The sequence below is a fragment of the Homo sapiens genome, chromosome X, assembly GCF_000001405.40.
Source record: "Homo sapiens chromosome X, GRCh38.p14 Primary Assembly".
Lineage (NCBI taxonomy): Eukaryota > Metazoa > Chordata > Mammalia > Primates > Hominidae > Homo > Homo sapiens.
The window spans coordinates 128685559-128704213 of record NC_000023.11 but is presented as its reverse complement, the minus strand read 5'-3'; the positions used below and the strand labels follow the sequence as shown (position 1 = coordinate 128704213).

General features: G+C 36.0%; 1 long non-coding RNA gene across 1 annotated transcript in view; it reads left to right on the top strand.

Annotated features, from left to right (window-relative positions):
* The first annotated feature begins 6522 nt into the window (after positions 1 to 6522).
* LOC107985698 (uncharacterized) overlaps positions 6523 to 18655 on the top strand; it is a 375495-nt gene continuing 363362 nt past the window's right edge. The window contains exons 1-2 of the long non-coding RNA XR_002958819.2: positions 6523 to 7049; positions 7684 to 7809. This is a non-coding gene — a long non-coding RNA (uncharacterized LOC107985698). The remainder of the gene's footprint in view (positions 7050 to 7683; positions 7810 to 18655) is intronic.

Here is an 18655-nt window from a genome sequence, read left to right as displayed (position 1 = left end):
TGTTCCTATTTCTTCACACATTCTCCAGCATCTGTTCTTTCCTGACTTTTTAATGATCGCCATTCTAACTGGCGTGAGATGGTATCTCACTGTGGTTTTGATTTGCATTTCTCTAATGACCAGTGATGATTAGCTTTTTTTCAAACATTTGTTGGCCACATAAATGTCTTCTTTTGAGAAGTTCATAACCTTTGCCCACTTTTTGATGGGGATGTTTGATTTTTTCTTGTAAATTTGTTTAAGTTCCTTGTAGATTCTTGATATTAGCCCTTTGTCAGATGGATAGATTGCAGAGTAGATCTTAAATGTTCTCACCACTTGCAAAAAAAAGTGTTACTTTGTGAGGTGATAGATATGTTAATTAGCTTGTTTGTGGTAATTATTTCACAATGTATATGCATATTAAAACATTTTATGAAGTATGTTGTATACTTACTTTAAACATATACAGTTTTTGTTTGTCCATTATACGTCAATAAAACTGGGGAAAAATCACTGTTGATCATCAAAAGACATCTTCATGAAAATAAAATAATAAGCCCTAAACCGGAGAATATATTTGCAACACACTACACTGACAAAATATGAGACGCCAGAAATATAAATAATTGTCCCGAATTAAGAAAGAAAAGGACAAACATTTCAATAGAAAAATGGGCTAAAGAGTTAGGGAGACACATCACAGGATAGGAAAAACAAAAGTCAAATAAAGATATGAAGAAACCACAATAAGATACCAGTTCACAATGAGATACAACCCTCTGAAATGCCTAAAATGAAAAAGTCTGACACCATAAAATGTTGGCAAGACTTTGGAGCTACTGTAACTCATACATTGCTGGTAAGAGTGTGAAGTATAAAATGACTTTAGAAACTTTTTTGGCAGATTTTACTCCCTCAGCCAGCAGTTACACTACTAGGTACTTATGCAAGAGAAATAAAAACATTTGTCCACACCAAGCTCTGTATAAGAATGGTCCTAGCAGTTGTCTTAGCCCTTTTGGGCTTTTATAAAAAATTACCACAGACTGGTTGGCTTAAACATAAAATATTAATTTCTTATAATTCTGGAGTCTGGAAATCAGAGATCACAGTGCCAGCATGATCAGATTCTGATGAGGACTCTTCTCTGTTGCACACTTCTGACTTCTTACTGTATCCTCACATAGCCAAAAGGAAGCTAAACAGCTTCCTTGGGCATGTTTTTATGAGGACACTAATGCCAATCATGAAGGCTCCACCCTCATGACCCAACTACCTCCTCCAAATCTCACCTCCTAATATTACCACATGGAGGGTTAAAATTCCAACATATGAATTTTGAGGGGACACAAATATTCAGTCCATAACAGCAGATTAATTAATAAAAACATCAAACTAGAAATAGTCCAGATATCCATTAATAGGAGAATAGACAAACTGTCTTCATACAATGGAATACTACTCATCACTAAAAAGTAAAGTATCAATGATATATACAAGACACAGATAAATCTCAAAAATATAGTGAGTAAAAAAATGGCAGACATGAGAGCGTATATACTGTACGATATGAGAGCATATATACTGTACGATTTTATTCACACTAAGTTCTACAATAGGCGAAACTAATCTATTGTAACTAATCTATTGTAATAGATCAGTGGTTACTTCTGGCACTGGGTGCAGGGACTGGGGAGAGGATTCAAAAGGGACAAAAGGAAACTTTCAGAGGCAATAGACTGTTTTATATCTGGATAGGGATCTGGGTCACACAGCTGTAAGCATTTGTCAAAAATGAAAGTACTTTACACTTAAGGGTCTGTGCATTTTACTGCATGTAAATTATTCCCCAATTTTAAAGTCTTATAAATGCTGAAAGTGATTATGTTGCAGAAATAAAAAAAAATCAAAAAGTTACTTGAGGCTTAGGATAAAAATTTCAGTGAAAGCATCATGCACAGATTTTTAAAAAACTGGATCTTAAACAACTTAGAAGAAAATATAATGTGACTCAAAAAATGGCTTGGTTTTGGTAAAAAAAAATATGCCAATGACGTGAAGAGTTGAAATAAAATTATTTCATGAAAAAATGAATAAAAGCTCAGTCTCATTAGTCATCAGAAAAATAAAAACTATGTCCTCAATTAGACATCATTTTAAATCTACAGATTGGCAAACATATTTAAGTCTGATAATGTCACTGTTGGTGAAGTTGTATAGCTATGAGTATCTTTTATATACTCATAAATATAGAAGTGTATATTGCTATGGTTTTATTTGATAATAATTTGGTATTCATTAGTGATGTTGAAGATATGTGTACCCTGTCATCCAATAATTCTACCATATATATTCTAGAAATACTGCCACATATATTCTAGAAATACTGCCACATATATTCTAGAAATACATGTTTAGTAGTTTTTCACCTCTCCCAGAATAAAAGCCCAAATTCTAACAATTACCTAAAAGGTTCTACAGAATCTATTCTGCCCACCTTCTCATTACCTGTCTGACTTCATGTCCTTTAACTCTCTTCTTTGCTTACTCGGCTCCAACCTCAGGACCTTCCCTGCTGTTTTCTTAACACTCCAGAAATGCTTCTATCTTAGGACTTGTGCATTTGTTGCTAATCTCTGAAACACTCTTCACCAAGAGGAGAATTACTTGCTCCCTCATCTACTTCAGGATTTTACTCAAATATCACTTTCTCAGTAAGCCTTACCCTGACCACTCTCTTTTAAAATTATACCCTGCCAATACTGCCTAACCCCTTTTCCCGCTCTAAATTTATCCATAGCACTTAGCACCATCTAATATGCTGTTTTCCCCCACTGCAATATAAACTCCTTGAAGCCAGACATTTTTGTCTGCTGCTTTACTACTGAAATCCATGGGCCCAGACTAGTTTCTGGTCCATTGTAAGAGCTCAATGACTCTCTACTGAATGAATGCTTGTATAACGGTATTGCTTTTTTAATAATCTTTATTTTTAGAGCAGTTTTAGGTTCACAGAAAAACTGAACAGAAAGTACAGAGTTCCCATACACTCTGTCTCCACACATGCATAGCCTCTCCCACCACTAACATCCCTCACCAGAATGGTACACTTGTTACCATCGACAAGCCTGCATTGACACATCATTATCACCCAAAGTCCATAGTTTACATTAGGATTTGCCCTTGATATTGTACATTCTATGGGTTTCAATACTGTATAATGACATGTATCCTTCATTGTAGTATTATACAGAATTGTTTCACTGCCTTATAATTCCTCAATGCTCTATTTATCCTTCCCTCCTCCAACAACATTGTTTTATTAGCAAACATCTGGGAACAACCCAAATGTCCATTGACAGGAGAATGGTAAATAAAACATGGTGTATTCACACAGTAAAATACTATACAGTTGTAAAAAAAAAAAAAAGGATCAACTATGACAATACATATCAGCATGAATGAATCTTACAAATATAAGTAAAAAAAGTCACATAAGAATGCATATGTGATTACATTTACATAAATTAAAACCTGTAAAACTTGAAATGTATTTTTAGGGCTGCATATGAATTTAGTAAAATTTTAAAGGAATGAAATGATGATCGACAAATTTTAGGATACTGGCTACCTCAGTGCGGGGGTGGGGGGTCAGAGAGGTCAAAAACCTTCTGTTATTGTGATCCCTGGAACTAACTGGGTTCCTGTTCCTTTAGGTTCTGGCTTTTTAACTGTTCCTTCCATTCCATAATACACTATTTCAAGAAATTCTATTTCTTGCTTTAAATTAATCCTCACATTTGACATATATATTCTGCCTTTACATTTGCTACACAACCGGTATGGTGCAGTATTATCTGCTTCTGTATGTAAGATCTCAGAAAGAAAGGAAATACTCACTAAGGCATAAATCCTTTAATTTGTCTTTTAGTGGCCATTATGAATGGTAAAATTATTTGAAGTGAGATGGTTTTATCATATTTTCCCTTTATTTTTGGTCAATGAAACCATCCTACACCACTGCTTGAGTCCCCGGGGCAGTGCTAATAATTCAGGCTAGTCTTTCAGTTAATTTAGTCTAATTTTGCAGGTGCTGTTAGAAAAAACCAGCTGGCTTGGATAAAATTGCCCTGTAGATGCTAGCTAGCCGTGATGTTATCAGCTTTTTGAGGGTTTTCAGAATAACAGATGAGATAATAGTAGGTTTTTAAAATCCCAGTTTAGATCTAATTTTGCTGTATTTGACTCCAGTGATTTTGCAGAAGCTGTTATGACTCAGCTGTCTCTTAAAAACTCCCCTCCCTTCTTCTCTTCCTCCATTTTCTCAGCAAATGAAATCTCTTTCCCTCCTTCTTTCTCTCCCCTTCTTTCTCTCTCACACAGAAGAAGAGAAAAGCCAAAACATCATCATATATATAGGGAACATATCTCAAGCCATCTTTGGTGCAAGAGAAGAGCTCAACTTCCAGCCAATTGATGGCAGATTGTAGAAACACATGGCGGGCCTTTGTATTAACCCAGGGGACATTATGCTAGGTGAAATAAGCCAGACACAGAAAGATGAATGGTATGTGATCTCACTTATATGTGGAATCTAAAAAAGGTAAATTTATGAAAGCATAGAGTAGATTGGTGGTTACTAGGGGTAAAGGGGGCCAGGGTGGAGGTAGGGAATGGGAAGATGTTGGTCAAAAGATACAAGTTTCAGTTAGTAGAATGAATAACTTCTAGAAAACTAAAGTATGACATGAGGTCTATAGTTAATAATACTGTATTGTATAGTTGAAATTGCTAAGAGACCAAATCTTAAGTGTCCTTGCCACAAAAAGAAAGATAGCTATGTAAAGGGATAGATATGTTAATCATCTTGATTATCATAATCAACTCTAACTACCTCATTTCACAGATAAGGAAACTAAGATATAAACAGATTTAGAGTTTACCCAAGGTCATATAGCTAGATAATAGCTATAATCTCATGATCTTGGGTCTGCACATGCTGTTCCTATTTTCCAAAAATACTCTTTTTGGGTATCTTTTCTTGGCTCCCTCAGATGTATACTTCTGGAGCAGAGGTGGTCAAACTATGGCCCATGAACCAAATTCAGATAGCAGGCTGTTTTTGTAAATAAAGTTTTATTGGAACACAGCCATGGCCATTCATTTCTTATTGTCTATGGCTGTTTTTGCACTACAGTAGCAAAGTTGAGTAATTGTGACAGAGACCATATGGTCTGCAAAGCATAAACTATTTACTACTTGGCTGTTTACAGAAAAAGTTTGCCAACCACTGACCTGGAGCCTAGAGTCTGTTCTAACTTAGCCAAACTGAGACAGTCTATGCCTTCTCTTACCTCTAACCACTAACTGCATGGAATCAGAAGAAACAAAAAAGTGAGGAAAGTGAGGGTGATGACATGTTTTGTGACTTCCTGCCAGCACAGTGAATCCTTGAAATGGCCCTTTTCCAATTAGCCCTTTCCTTGCTTGCCAACTTCCAAGTCACTCCAGGCTGCTAACACCTCCCCCTACCTACCATTTGCCAGGCCATCTGCATACAATCAGTCTCCTTAGTAATAATTCTAGCAAGATTTCTGTTCACTCTTAGCCTAGCTTCTGATTTTTTAAAGCCTCCTCGTCCTTTTTTTTTTTTTATCACAAGACATTTAAAAAACACAGATATTCAAAATGTCACAATATTTATTTTAATGGAGAAGAGAAGGTGATTCTTCACAGAAAGCCAGCCTCCAGATAACGAACTGCCTCATTTGCCTTGTGTCCTGTGGGATATTTTGCACTAAGTGCAGAGGTAGGCCTGATGACACTGATCAGTATCCCAAAGCCTCTGAAAGCTCAAGGGAATATTCCTGTACGTTTTGCAAGCAGTTGTTTAGTCCTGGTCCCTGACTAGGGAAGGACTTTGGGAGAGGAGTGGGTAAGGATTTAAAGGGCTACATTTAAGTGATAAATGTGTTTTATTCAGGGCCTGTGGCATTCTTTTAGGGATATATAATAAACCTTAACAATACTTTTCAATATTGTTAGCTAATATTAATTGAGCACTTACTGTCTGCCAAATTATTTGCTACATATTTACCATGGAGAATAGGGATTATTTTCCTCCACATTTTGTAGGTGATAAAATTGAGACTCAGAAAAATCAGGTGACTTCCCCAAGGTCACACAAGTAATAAGTGATGGAGTCAGAATTTATACCTAGATTTGTCCGATTCCATTGTCTTTTAACTACTTCAGTAGCTGCCTTTTTAATGGGAAATATTTCAAAACTTTTAAGACTAACATGCAAAAGCAAAAAACAATCTTTCTCTGAGGCCAGATGAGTAGCTCCAGGAGGAGTAGTGTGTGTGTGTGTAAAGTCTATGCCAAAATCTTTAACTGGCTGGTCTTCTACACATAAGATATTCAGATTATAGGCAGAGGTGGGTTGCATTTACAATAGCTGTGATAAATCAATTCAATCACCATATTCAGACCATCTATTATGCGCCAGGAACTGTGTCCTAGTCATCTAGAGATGTTAAAAATACCGTTGTTTTTCTTAAGGAGTTTACAGATTGTCTTAGAAGAACAGCTATTGATAATTAACAAATATTTGTTGAATAAAGGAATGAAGCGTTGTGACTATTATACTGTCTGAGAAAGACATTTACCTAGCCTCCTAAATCTCCTAGTCCAGTTGGTGAGGAAACCTAGAATGTGCGAATTCACAAAGATCTGAGATAGCCTGATGTGTTAAGGGATTTATAGGTAGTTCCATACTTCGAGGGTGAAAGAGGTGACAAAGAATGTACCTGGACACATTGAGAAAACAGAGAGTGATTTTTTTCATATAACCAGAATTAATAAATTTCTGCAGGGCCCTGAAGTGTGATATGTGGGAGGCATGAGAAATAGAAGAAATTGCTGTGGAACCCTACTCTCAAGGTGATAGTCTGCTTCTGGAGAGAAAAACAACTAAGGCATATAAATAATAATATGCATGTGTGGCCCAAACTGAAAGTTTGAGTCCTGAAGATGTATGAGTAAGGGTGTGATCAGTAGAAAAGGTAATTTTGCAATTGCACATTGAAAGGAAAAGGCTGTTCCAATTAGAAAATGCCCAGTGGTTTCCAACGTGTAAGCCATAGACATCTTGGGAAGAGGAAAAGCATTGCATTATTGCAAGGGACCAAGGATGTATTTGAGGACCAAGCACTGTCTGTGGACTGAATAAGTAACATATATGGTTACTTTATGTGCTACCATTGATTAAATAAATTCATGTCGCTTCTGTGATTAATAAAGTACAAGTTGATGGGAAAGTATTATTCAGTTCAATCGCTATTTATTAGCATAGATTTTCTCAATTAAATGGTATTCAGCAGAGAATAGTTTCACAAATGTGTTGTTAAAGGTCTTTAGATTTCTAAAACATTGGAAACCACAGGTTTTAGGGAAGCAGAAGAGTAATGTTTTCTCCATGTTACTGCTCTGTGTGGCTCTGGCTGGGTACTGGCCTGATAATGAGATATGGCAAAGAGACAATTGTTGGAATACTGTTTATTATAGCAGCATAGATGACATGTCACAGTAAATATCTCAGAGGAAAGAGCTTTCATGACCAAGTTAATCATAAGCAAACATGAAAGGGAGAATAGCATGATTTTTTTTTCTTATAAAAGGTAATATTTTCTCTTCAAGTTGAAGAAAGTGATTCAGAACTCTTTCAAGAACTAAAGAGAAGGTGAAACTCCATGCAGAGAAGAATGAGATGGTAATTTGGAGAGGCAATGATAGGCTGATACCAAGCCTTAGATGTTTTCAAGGGTAAGTTATTTTTTTTCCAAGATTTCCTCCAATTTCCACTCCCAAAGGGAAATCCTCAGAGGGAAAAATAATGGAGAACCCTAAGCTCCCTTCTTCTCCAAATTGCAAATTGGGTGATAAAGGGAATTAGGATAAGCCATGCTTTCTCAGGACTTTGGACTTTCTAAGTTACGCTTTGGGTGAGGAGAAAAGTTCATTTGTAAAATGGGCTTTCCTTACTTGAATAGAAATTTACCCATACCTTACTCTTTCCCTTCTGTTCCTAGTCTCCTACTTACCTCATTTTATGTCATAACACTTATTTTTTTTTGTTGTTTTTATTCCTATCTTTTCTCCCCTTCTACTTTTGTTTCCTCCTTCATCTTCCTCTTCCTTTTCTCCACTTTTTTTCTAGGAGTGTTAAGAAAGTCTTTCTTTTTCTCTGTCTCTTCCTTTGTCTCTGTCTCTCTGTGTAAGGGCTAACGACTTGGAAGAAGACTTAGGAAGAAGAGAGGGATCTTTTCAGTTATTTTTCATTTCAACCTCAGACAGAAAGCTATCACAGTCCCCTCGTGTGCCAAATAGAAGCATTTTGGACCTAAGTCTTAAGTTGCAGTTTTTGAAATTTAGATAATGTTATATCCGAAGCCTAGCCCATATTCTGTTGGAAGTTCATTGCCCTCCCATTTTATTTCCTGGAAATTAAAAGGGACTCACATTTTATTATTTCTTTCAGTTCTGATGTTTTGCGTCTAATGAGTTTTCATTCTTACTGGCCTCTTTCTCCTTCCCTTGTTCTTTTCTTTCCTTTGTTCCACGCCAGCCCAGAATTGGGGGCTTAGCCACATTTCATTGATTTTCACAACACATACACACCCATATGAGCTTTTTGTGTTTGGGGAATTGAAGGAGGCTTATTTCACAGCATCACAAATGTCCTTTTACCTCTCTCCCTTACCACAAACTCTTATTAAATTTTTATGCAGGAAAGTTAAACTTGCTCTATTTTAAGCTTTTTCTTTCTAATGCAGGTTCTCCTGATCTCACCTTTTATGCCCAATCGACTATCAAGTTATTTTGTAACAAATATTATTGCTTCTTCTCTGAGAAATTCTGTCCAGTTATTAAAATAACATTTTCTCCCTGATATAATAATAGTTAAAAGGATACCTTTTACCTAGGAGTTCTGCAAAGCCCCCCCGAAGAGCCACTAAGGGACTGGGGAGGAGAGGGAGGCTCAGGCAGCAGGGCTCCACACATCCACAGCCCTGCTTCAACCAGACTAGCTTCACTTTGATCTGTCTTACATATTTGATTTCATGACCATTTGGGGTAAAAAGAAAAGCTTCCATTCCTAAAATAAAATGTGAAAACCACTGCTTTAATAGATGAAACTTGTTAGCCCTAAAAGATAGCATGAACTGGATGTATATAAATATGTTTCAAAAGAAGAAAAAGAACATCAAGGGTGTCATATCTACAATATTCATTGGAAAATGATTCAAAGAAAATTAAAATGTTTAGGGGTTATGGCAATTCCCCAAGGTTGACAAAAAGGAAGATAATCAGATCCTATGATGGCTAAATTCTTGTTAATTTAGACTCCAGGGCATGATGGCATTTCTGGGAAGAGAAGCCCTTTCTGTTTGTGGCTGACTTTGGAGTACTGGTATATAGTGTTTGCATGGGACAGGAAGCCTTGCCAAGCGGGCAATTAAAGATAGAGCTATACTTCAGAAACTCAGCTCTTAGTTTCCTATATTTATTTTCCCCTGGATGTGAATGATGAACAGTTTGGCTTTTGAGTATAGGATGATTTTAGTATTTGATGCCATGCTACATTTTTCCCATGCTTCATATACTCCCCTGATCTTGACTGTGCCTGACAATGTGAGAAAGGACTCCAGCTGCCTCTCAGATGGGTGGGTTTGATATATACTGCTGTCATTTAAGAAAAATAAAATTTTATGAATTATGCATTTCTTCTTCTGATTAACTGTTGTGATTAATTTTAAAACAACTGGTGAATTTCATAGGACTTACCAGAAATCTGTGGCATTTTGACTTGTTCTTCACATTGAGGTCATTTGTGCACATCTTACATCATTTATGAACTGTTTTTCCCTTTAAAGTAGGAGTTCTAATGGTATATTACTAAGGGTGTGATCAATAAGGAAGGTAATTTTGCAACTCCATATTGAAAGGAAAAGGCTGTTCCGGTTAACACAAAGGTCCTGTTTGATTCATGTTTGTGTCCTCCACAGTACTGGCAGGTACTAAATGTGCAGAAATAATGTATTTAATTTAATTGGTGGCAAATTGGACCTTAGCCCATTATGGCATTTCATGTTTTAAGAAAGGTATCTTGTTGAAAATAAGTTCAGACTGGTAGGAAATAAAGAGGAAGGGAATTGACAATTTTATAAATTAACAATATGCTACACGTGGTCCTCAGAATCCTGTCCAAATCATCTCATTTATTGTGCTTATATACCAATGTCTTAGGTTTCATGATAGGCATTTGTGTCTTAGGTATTTGGCAAAGAAGACATAGTGTTGGATTCCTGTTCATTCTAACATGTAGACTCTATGATTCAAAAAGTTTCATTTTGTCTTTGCTGCTATGATGTTATCAGGGTTTCTTTATGGGCTGTGGCCAGAGGGATACAACTTCAACTCCGTCCTCAGTAGTGAGTTTATATACCATATTTTCTGACTATTTTCACTGGATTTGAGATCTCATTTGCTATAGGTATGTTGTTATTATAGGTCATAGAGTGTTAAAGAGACAACAAACATACAAATAACCTTGGTTCTATAGGTGTGAAATAGCCTTGAAAGATAGCCTCTTTCAGACTCACATCTTTCCCTTCATGCATCTCTAACAAGTCTCCACTTCCTAGTTCCTCTGTGATCATATCCCAGATCAGATTAGAGATTTCTCTAAGTTTACCTTGCCATTGAAGGGACTGGTGACTCTATCCTGCAGGTAATTCCTTCTCCAGCTTATGAAAAACAATATCTGAAGCTTAGGGCTCTTGAGCTTCATAGCTCTATCTCTTTACGGTTCTCAGCGTTGTACACATCTTCTTTTGGTGGTAGCCTCCTCCTTTTTACTTTGTTTTCCTTCTATACAGAAGCCCAAGCCCCTTTTATCTTTTGTCTTGCTAGCTACTGGCAGCCCTTCAATCCAATCAGTCTAGTTAAACATGCAGCACTACTTGTTTACTTCTCTAAATTGCTCCATATAAATCATAGAATTGTGAGAAGGCCACATATTGAAAGAAGGCTAGCAAAGAGGACCTAGACAATGGGGAGAACATTTCTCCCCAGCAGGTGAATTCAGATATGAAAATCTGGATTTATGCAACAATAAATCAAGGGAATTGTTTTCACTTTACAGAAGGATTCACCATAGGGTTCCTTTAAATAGCTGGTTCCCTTAGTGTATGTTACAATGGTATTGTATTATTAAAAAAATCAAATCTAAGTGGAAGTTTTTAGAAAATAGGCGATTATTATGATGCCTGGTAAATGTTATAGATTTTTCTTTTCCTAGAAAATAAATTTTAAAAATAGATCCAGAGTTAATATATATGGCATGGTAATATAATAATCCTGAGGGGAGTTAGGATGTTCAGTTTGATCAGTATTCCTCCCCATAAGCCACTTGCAGCAGAAACACCTGTGATGCTTTTAAAATGTAGACTCTTGATGAGAAAGGCCTAAGAATTTGTATTTTAACAAAGTCTTCCAGGTAATTTTAATTTACACTAAAGTTTTCAAGAACTACTGGACTAGATATTTTTCTGTTTGAATCTTTCTTGCCTGTCTTTCCTGGGCTTTAAGGTCATGTATTATAGCTTGTGACCTAAACTGTTTTAATTGTTTTATCAGTGAGGAAATAGAGATACTAACATTGAGATACTAAAGAAGGGAATATTAGGAGCAGGGATGGTGATGGTGATAAACTTATGTTAGTGTGTATTTATGTGCGTAGGCAAATGTCTAAAAACATATAAGGAAAAAGCTGGAGAATAATCTTATGTACATGGTTTTTACTTCTGTTATATCTGATTATATGTGGTAGGTGCATAGATATGCAATGGGAATGGCTGTTCCAAGTTTTGGCTTCTTGTGCTTTTTGACAATGTGGTTCCTAAATAGTCTGGTATTGAAGGATACCCCATTTTTCATATCCCTACGTTTTTCCTTATTATCTCTCTCTGCCCGCCCCACAGACACACCTAGTTCTTTTTCATGTCAATAAAATATTAGTCACCCTTTGAATTGTTAAGCTTTGTGCAAGTGAGCTTACAACAGAGATATGGGCATGGTAGTGAGAGGGCTGAGTCAACCAAGAAGCCATTAAAAGTTCCAATGTAATATGAAGTGGCATTCATGACCCAGACTTAAACATGACAGTGAACGACCACAGAGTGACACACCTGTTATAATTATTACACAAGTCAATAAAGAACATTACAAGGCCGGGCACAGTGGCTCACGCCTGTAATCCCAGCACTTTGGGATGCTGAGGCGGGTGGATCACCTGAAGTCAGGAGTTCGAGACCAGCCTGGCCAACATGGTGAAGCCCCGTCTCTACTAAAAATACAAAAATTAGCCGGGCTTGGTGGCAGGCACCTGTAGTCTCATCTACTCGGGAGGCTGAAGCAGGAGAATCCCTTGAACCCAGGGGGCGGAGGTTGCAGTGAGCCAAGATCGTGCCACAGCACTCCAGCCTGGATGATAGTGCGAGACTCTGTCTCAAAAAAAATAAATAAACAAAGAAAGAACATTATAAGTCCCCCAAGCCCCACTTTACTTCCTGTATTCATTATCCCTATCGGCTTCCCCAGAGGTAACCACTATCCTGATATCTAACAACATAGATTAGACTTGCATATTTTGAATTTTATAAAATTTGTGTCATCTAGTCTGTACACTCTTTTATATGGATTATTTCATTCAACGTAATGTTGATAATATTCTTAATTTGTATATGTACCCTTTGTCAGTTATATATGGCAAAAGCCATTTTGTGGCTTGTATTTTCACTTTCTTTGTAGTATCTCTTTTTAAACAGAAGTTATTTAAATTTGGTAAACTCCCATTCATCATATTTTTTTTCAGGTTAGAACTGGCTAGCCATATGTAGAAAGCTGAAACTGGATCCCTTCCTTACACCTTATACAAAAATTAATTCCAGATGGATTAAATACTTAAACGTTAGACCTAAAACCATAAAAACCCTAGAAGAAAACCTAGGCATTACCATTCAGGACATAGGCATGGGCAAGGACTTCATGTCTAAAACACCAAAAGCAATGGCAACAAAAGCCAAAATTGACAAATGGGATCTAATTAAACTATAGAGCTTCTGCACAGCAAAAGAAACTACCATCAGAGTGAACAGGCAACCTACAAAATGGGAGAAAATTTTCACAACCTACTCATCTGACAAAGGGCTAGTATCCAGAATCTACAATGAACTCCAGCAAATTTACAAGAAAAAAACAAACAACCCAATCAAAAAGTGGGCGAAGGACATGAACAGACACTTCTCAAAAGAAGACATTTATGCAGCCAAAAAAACACATGAAAAAATGCTCACCATCACTGGCCATCAGAGAAATGCAAATCAAAAGCACAATGACATACCATCTCACACCAGTTAGAATGGCAATCATTAAAAAGTCAGGAAACAACAGGTGCTGGAGAGGATGTGGAGAAATAGGAACACTTTTACACTGTTGGTGGGACTGTAAACTAGTTCAACCAATGTGGAAGTCAGTGTGGCGATTCCTCAGGGATCTAGAACTAGAAATACCATTTGACCCAGCCATCCCCTTATTGGGTATATACCCAAAGGACTATAAATCATGCTGTTATAAAGACACATGCACACGTATGTTTATTGCAGCACTATACACAATAGCAAAGACTTGGAACCAACCCAAATGTCCAACAATGATAGACTGGATTAAGAAAATGTGGCACATATACACCATGGAATACTATGCAGCCATAAAAAATGATGAGTTCATGTCCTTTGTAGGGACATGGATGAAATTGGAAATCATCATTCTCAGTAAACTATCGCAAGGACAAAAAACCAAACACCCCATGTTCTCACTCATAGGTGGGAATTGAACAATGAGAACACATGGACACAGGAAGGGGAACATCACACTCTGGGGACTGTTGTGGGATGGGGGGAGGGGGGAGGGATAGCTGTAGGAGATATACCTAATACTAAATGATGAGTTAATGGGTTCAGCACAGCAGCATGGCACATGTATACATATGTAACTAACCTGCACATTGTGCACATGTACCCTAAAACTTAAAGTATAATAATAATTAAAATAAAAAGAATTATTCAAGATCTCAAAAATATTGTTCTATATTATTAATACAGCTTTGCAGTTTTATCTTTCACATATTGATCTATAATCCATCCTGAAATTATTTTTGTGCATGGTGTAAGTATCATGTTTCACTATTTCCCAATGTATATACAAGTAATCCAGAACTTCATTCCATGGCATTCCAGACCTATTTGTCATTAATCAAGTATCCACATATGTATTGTTCTGTATCTAGACTTCATATTATGTTTTATTGATCTCTTTATCTATATCTGTCCCAATAACACACTGTCTTAAGTAATGTGGCTTCATAATAAGTAGTGATTATCTGGTAGTATAAGTGCTCCAATACTGTTCTCTGTTTTCAAGATTGCCTTGACCATTCTTGATGTTTTATGTTTTCAATTAAATGTTGGATTTATGTTACTAATATCCACCAAAATATTATAATTTTAACTGGAATTATGATAAATCTGTAGCCAGATCAATTTGGGAAAATCAACATTTTAAAAATATTGACTCTCCTAATCCATGACTTAATTTCTCCATTTCAGTCTTATTTAATTTCTACCAATAATGCTTTAGAGTTTTTTAAAATAGAACACCTTTCATTAGGTTTATTCCTAGGTATTTAGTCTTTTTCTTTTCTCTTTCTTTGTGCTTTTATACATATTAGCTTTAAAAGTCTGTATTTTTATTATTTGTGGATAGTATGTAGAAATACAATCAATCTGTGTATATTGACATATGTAATCACCTTGCTAAATTCATTATAATTTACTTTTAATTATTTTATATTTACTAAATATATAATTATTTCATGTGAAGATATTGAGAGGTTTTTTTCTTCCTTTTAGTCCTTCAACTTTTGTTGTTTTTTTCCTTGATCTCTTGCTCCAGTGAGTTTCTTGAGTATAATGCTGAATCTGAGCAGTGATGAGGGGCATTCTTGACTTGTTCCTGATCTCAGGAAGAGAGCTTTCATCATTTCACCTTAAAGTATACATATGTAACAAACCTGCACGTTGTGCACCTGTACCCTAGAACTTAAAGTGTAATAAAAAATAAAAAATAAATAATAAATAAAGTATTATGTTTGCTATAAACTCTATGTAGATGTATTCTGTTAAAATAACAATGTTCCTTTTTACTATTAGTTGGCAAAGTGTTTTTAAAATTATAAATGGATGCTAAATTTTATAAAATGCTTTATCTGCCTCATTTGAGATTATTTTTTTTTCTTGATTCTGTTTATATATTGAAATACAATGATTTGGTTTTGTTTTTTATGGATTCTTCATTTGACATATGACTAGATTCAGTTGGGTAAGATTTTGTTGAGGAATTTTGGAATTTTATGTCTATATTCATGGGTGATTGGATTATGGATTTCTTTTCCTGTAATGTAATTATCAAGTTTTGTTATCAAGGTCATGCTTGCCACCAGAAAAAAAAAAAAACTATTGGAAATTATATCTTCTCTTATTCTCTGGAAGAATTTGTGTGAGATTGGAATTATTGCTCTCTTAAATGTTTGTGTAATTAATCAGCAAAGCCATCTGGACCTGAAAGGTTTTAAAGACTCTATGTTTTTAATGGGTAGAGAAGAATTCAGATATTATTTTTCTTCTTGGGTCAGTTTTTATAATTTTTTTAAGGAATTTTTCATTTCATCTAAATTTTCTAACTTAATGGCAAAAAGTTGTTCATGATATTTTATTTCTTTGCAAATGTCTGAAATATTTGTGATCACATTCTCTTTTCCACTCCCGGTAGTCTCTCTTTTTTTCTGGTTCTGTTTTGTAATGAGGCTTATCGATTTTATTAGTCTTAAAAAAACAACTCTTGGCCTTGGTAAGGATGTTTTCTGTTTTTGCTTTTATCTTTGCCATTTTGTCCTTCAGGTTTCTTCTGGTTTTCATGTTTCTTTTAATGTATTGTGATATATGCCAAAATAATAGATTTTTGGGCCTCTCTTCTAATATGTGCACTGAAAAGTACTTGTCTTTCTAAGCATGGCTTTAGTTGCATTCCACTTTTTGCCTCTACATGCTTTGGACAGGTCTGTATATTACCTACCTTAATGTCTTCTGTGTTGTCTAATTTGCTTTTAAACTCAGGGATTTAGTCCTTAATTTGATAAATTATATTTTTTACTTCTAGAATTTTAATTTTATTTTAGAATTTCCAGCTATTTACCATAATTCTCCATCTTTTTGTTTAAACCCATAAACATATTAGTCATAATTACTTTGATTCTCAGCCTGATATCTTCAATATCTGGATCCCCTATAAATCTCTTTCAATTTTCTTTTCTTAGCTTTTGGGTAGTTCTTATCCTTTAGAGTTAATGGTTATGTTTCGATTAAATATCACACTTCATGTATGAATAATTATAAAGATAGTCAAAATTCTGAATACTGTTATTCTTCCTCTAGAGATAATTTGTTTTTTGTTTCTGCCATGCAGTTAGGCTAGGGGCAGATTACTTTAAAGGGATTCAAAGCTGGGCTTTAGCCATTTGAGGTTTCAGCTGTTTCTGCTTCACCCTCATTGTTAGGGTATAGCCATTTGAAGATACCAATTGAAAAATCTGCTGCATATCTACAACTATCTGATCTTTGACAAACCTGACAAAAACAAGCAATGGGGAAAGCATTCCCTATTTAATAAATGGTGCTGGGAAAACTGGCTAGCCATATGTAGAAAGCTGAAACTGGATCCCTTCCTTACACCTTATACAAAAATCAATTCAAGATGGATTAAAGACTTAAACGTTAGACCTAAAACCGTAAAAATCCTAGAAGAAAACCTAGGCATTACCATTCAGGACATAGGCATGGGCAAGGACTTCATGTCTAAAACACCAAAAGCAATGGCAACAAAAGCCAAAATTGACAAATGGGATCTAATTAAACTAAAGAGCTTCTGCACAGCAAAAGAAACTACCATCAGAGTGAACAGGCAACCTACAAAATGGGAGAAAATTTTCACAACCTACTCATCTGACATATCCAGAATCTACAATGAACTCCAGCAAATTTACAAGAAAAAAACAAACAACCCAATCAAAAAGTAGGCGAAGGACATGAACAGACACTTCTCAAAAGAAGACATTTATGCAGCCAAAAAACACATGAAAAAATGCTCACCATCACTGGCCATCAGAGAAATGCAAATCAAAACCACAATGAGATACCATCTCACACCAGTTAGAATGGCAATCATTAAAAAGTCAGGAAACAACAGGTGCTGGAGAGGATGTGGAGGAATAGGAACACGTTTACACTGTTGGTGGGACTGTAAACTAGTTCAACCAATGTGGAAGTCAGTGTGGCGATTCCTCAGGGATCTAGAACTAGAAATACCATTTGACCCAGCCATCCCATTACTGGGTATATACCCAAAGGACTATAAATCATGCTGTTATAAAGACACATGCACACGTATGTTTATTGCGGCAGTATTCACAATAGCAAAGACTTGGAACCAACCCAAATGTCCAACAATGATAGACTGGATTAAGAAAATGTGGCACATATACACCATGGAATACTATGCAGCCATAAAAAATGATGAGTTCACATCCTTTGTAGGGACATGGATGAAATTGGAAATCATCATTCTCAGTAAACTATCACAAGAACAAAAAACCAAACACCGCATATTCTCACTCATAGGTGGGAATTGAACAATGAGAACACATGGACACAGGAAGGGGAACATCACACTCTGGAGACAGTTGTGGGGTGGGGGGAGGGGGGAGAGATAGCATTGGGAGATATACCTAATGCTAGATGACGAGTTAGTGGGTGCAGAGCACCAGCATGGCACATGTATACATATGTAACTAACCTGCACATTGTGCACATGTACCCTAAAATTTAAAGTATAATAATAATAATAAAAAAAGAAAATCTGCAACATTTAACAGAAAACCTTGGCAGAATCTAAATTTCAATTTATATTCATTCCAGCCCTGTGAGACTCTAGTGCACTTTTCTTAGCTTCTGAGCGACAAACTGCTGCATTTTCTTTCACAATTAACAATTGTCTTGAGGGAAAGAGGAACCCCAAATGCTAGGCTCACCTCTTCTGCCTTCTGCCTTCTTTCCAATCTTGGCCCTGAATATTCTCCCTTGGTATTGTTTCGGTGTCTTTACATAGCTTTTGCTTTGTTTGTTTTTGTCCCCTTTTTCTAATTGCTCTCAATGAACAACATAGTGAAATAACATAATCAACCATTAATGAAAGTGAGTCAAATTCTTGGACCACACCCCATGATAATCCAATTCAGTAGGTTTGACATTAAGCCTAACAATCTACATTAAAAAAAAAAAAGAGATACAAAGTGTGTATGACCTAGGTGTCCACAGAATGTTCAGGCAGAGAACCTTAGAGAAACCTGTCTTAGACATGCATATAGCATGGACTGTCAAGGAAAATACACTATGGCCCTTAAGATTTATTCTAGCCCAGAGTCTCTGGGAATTCA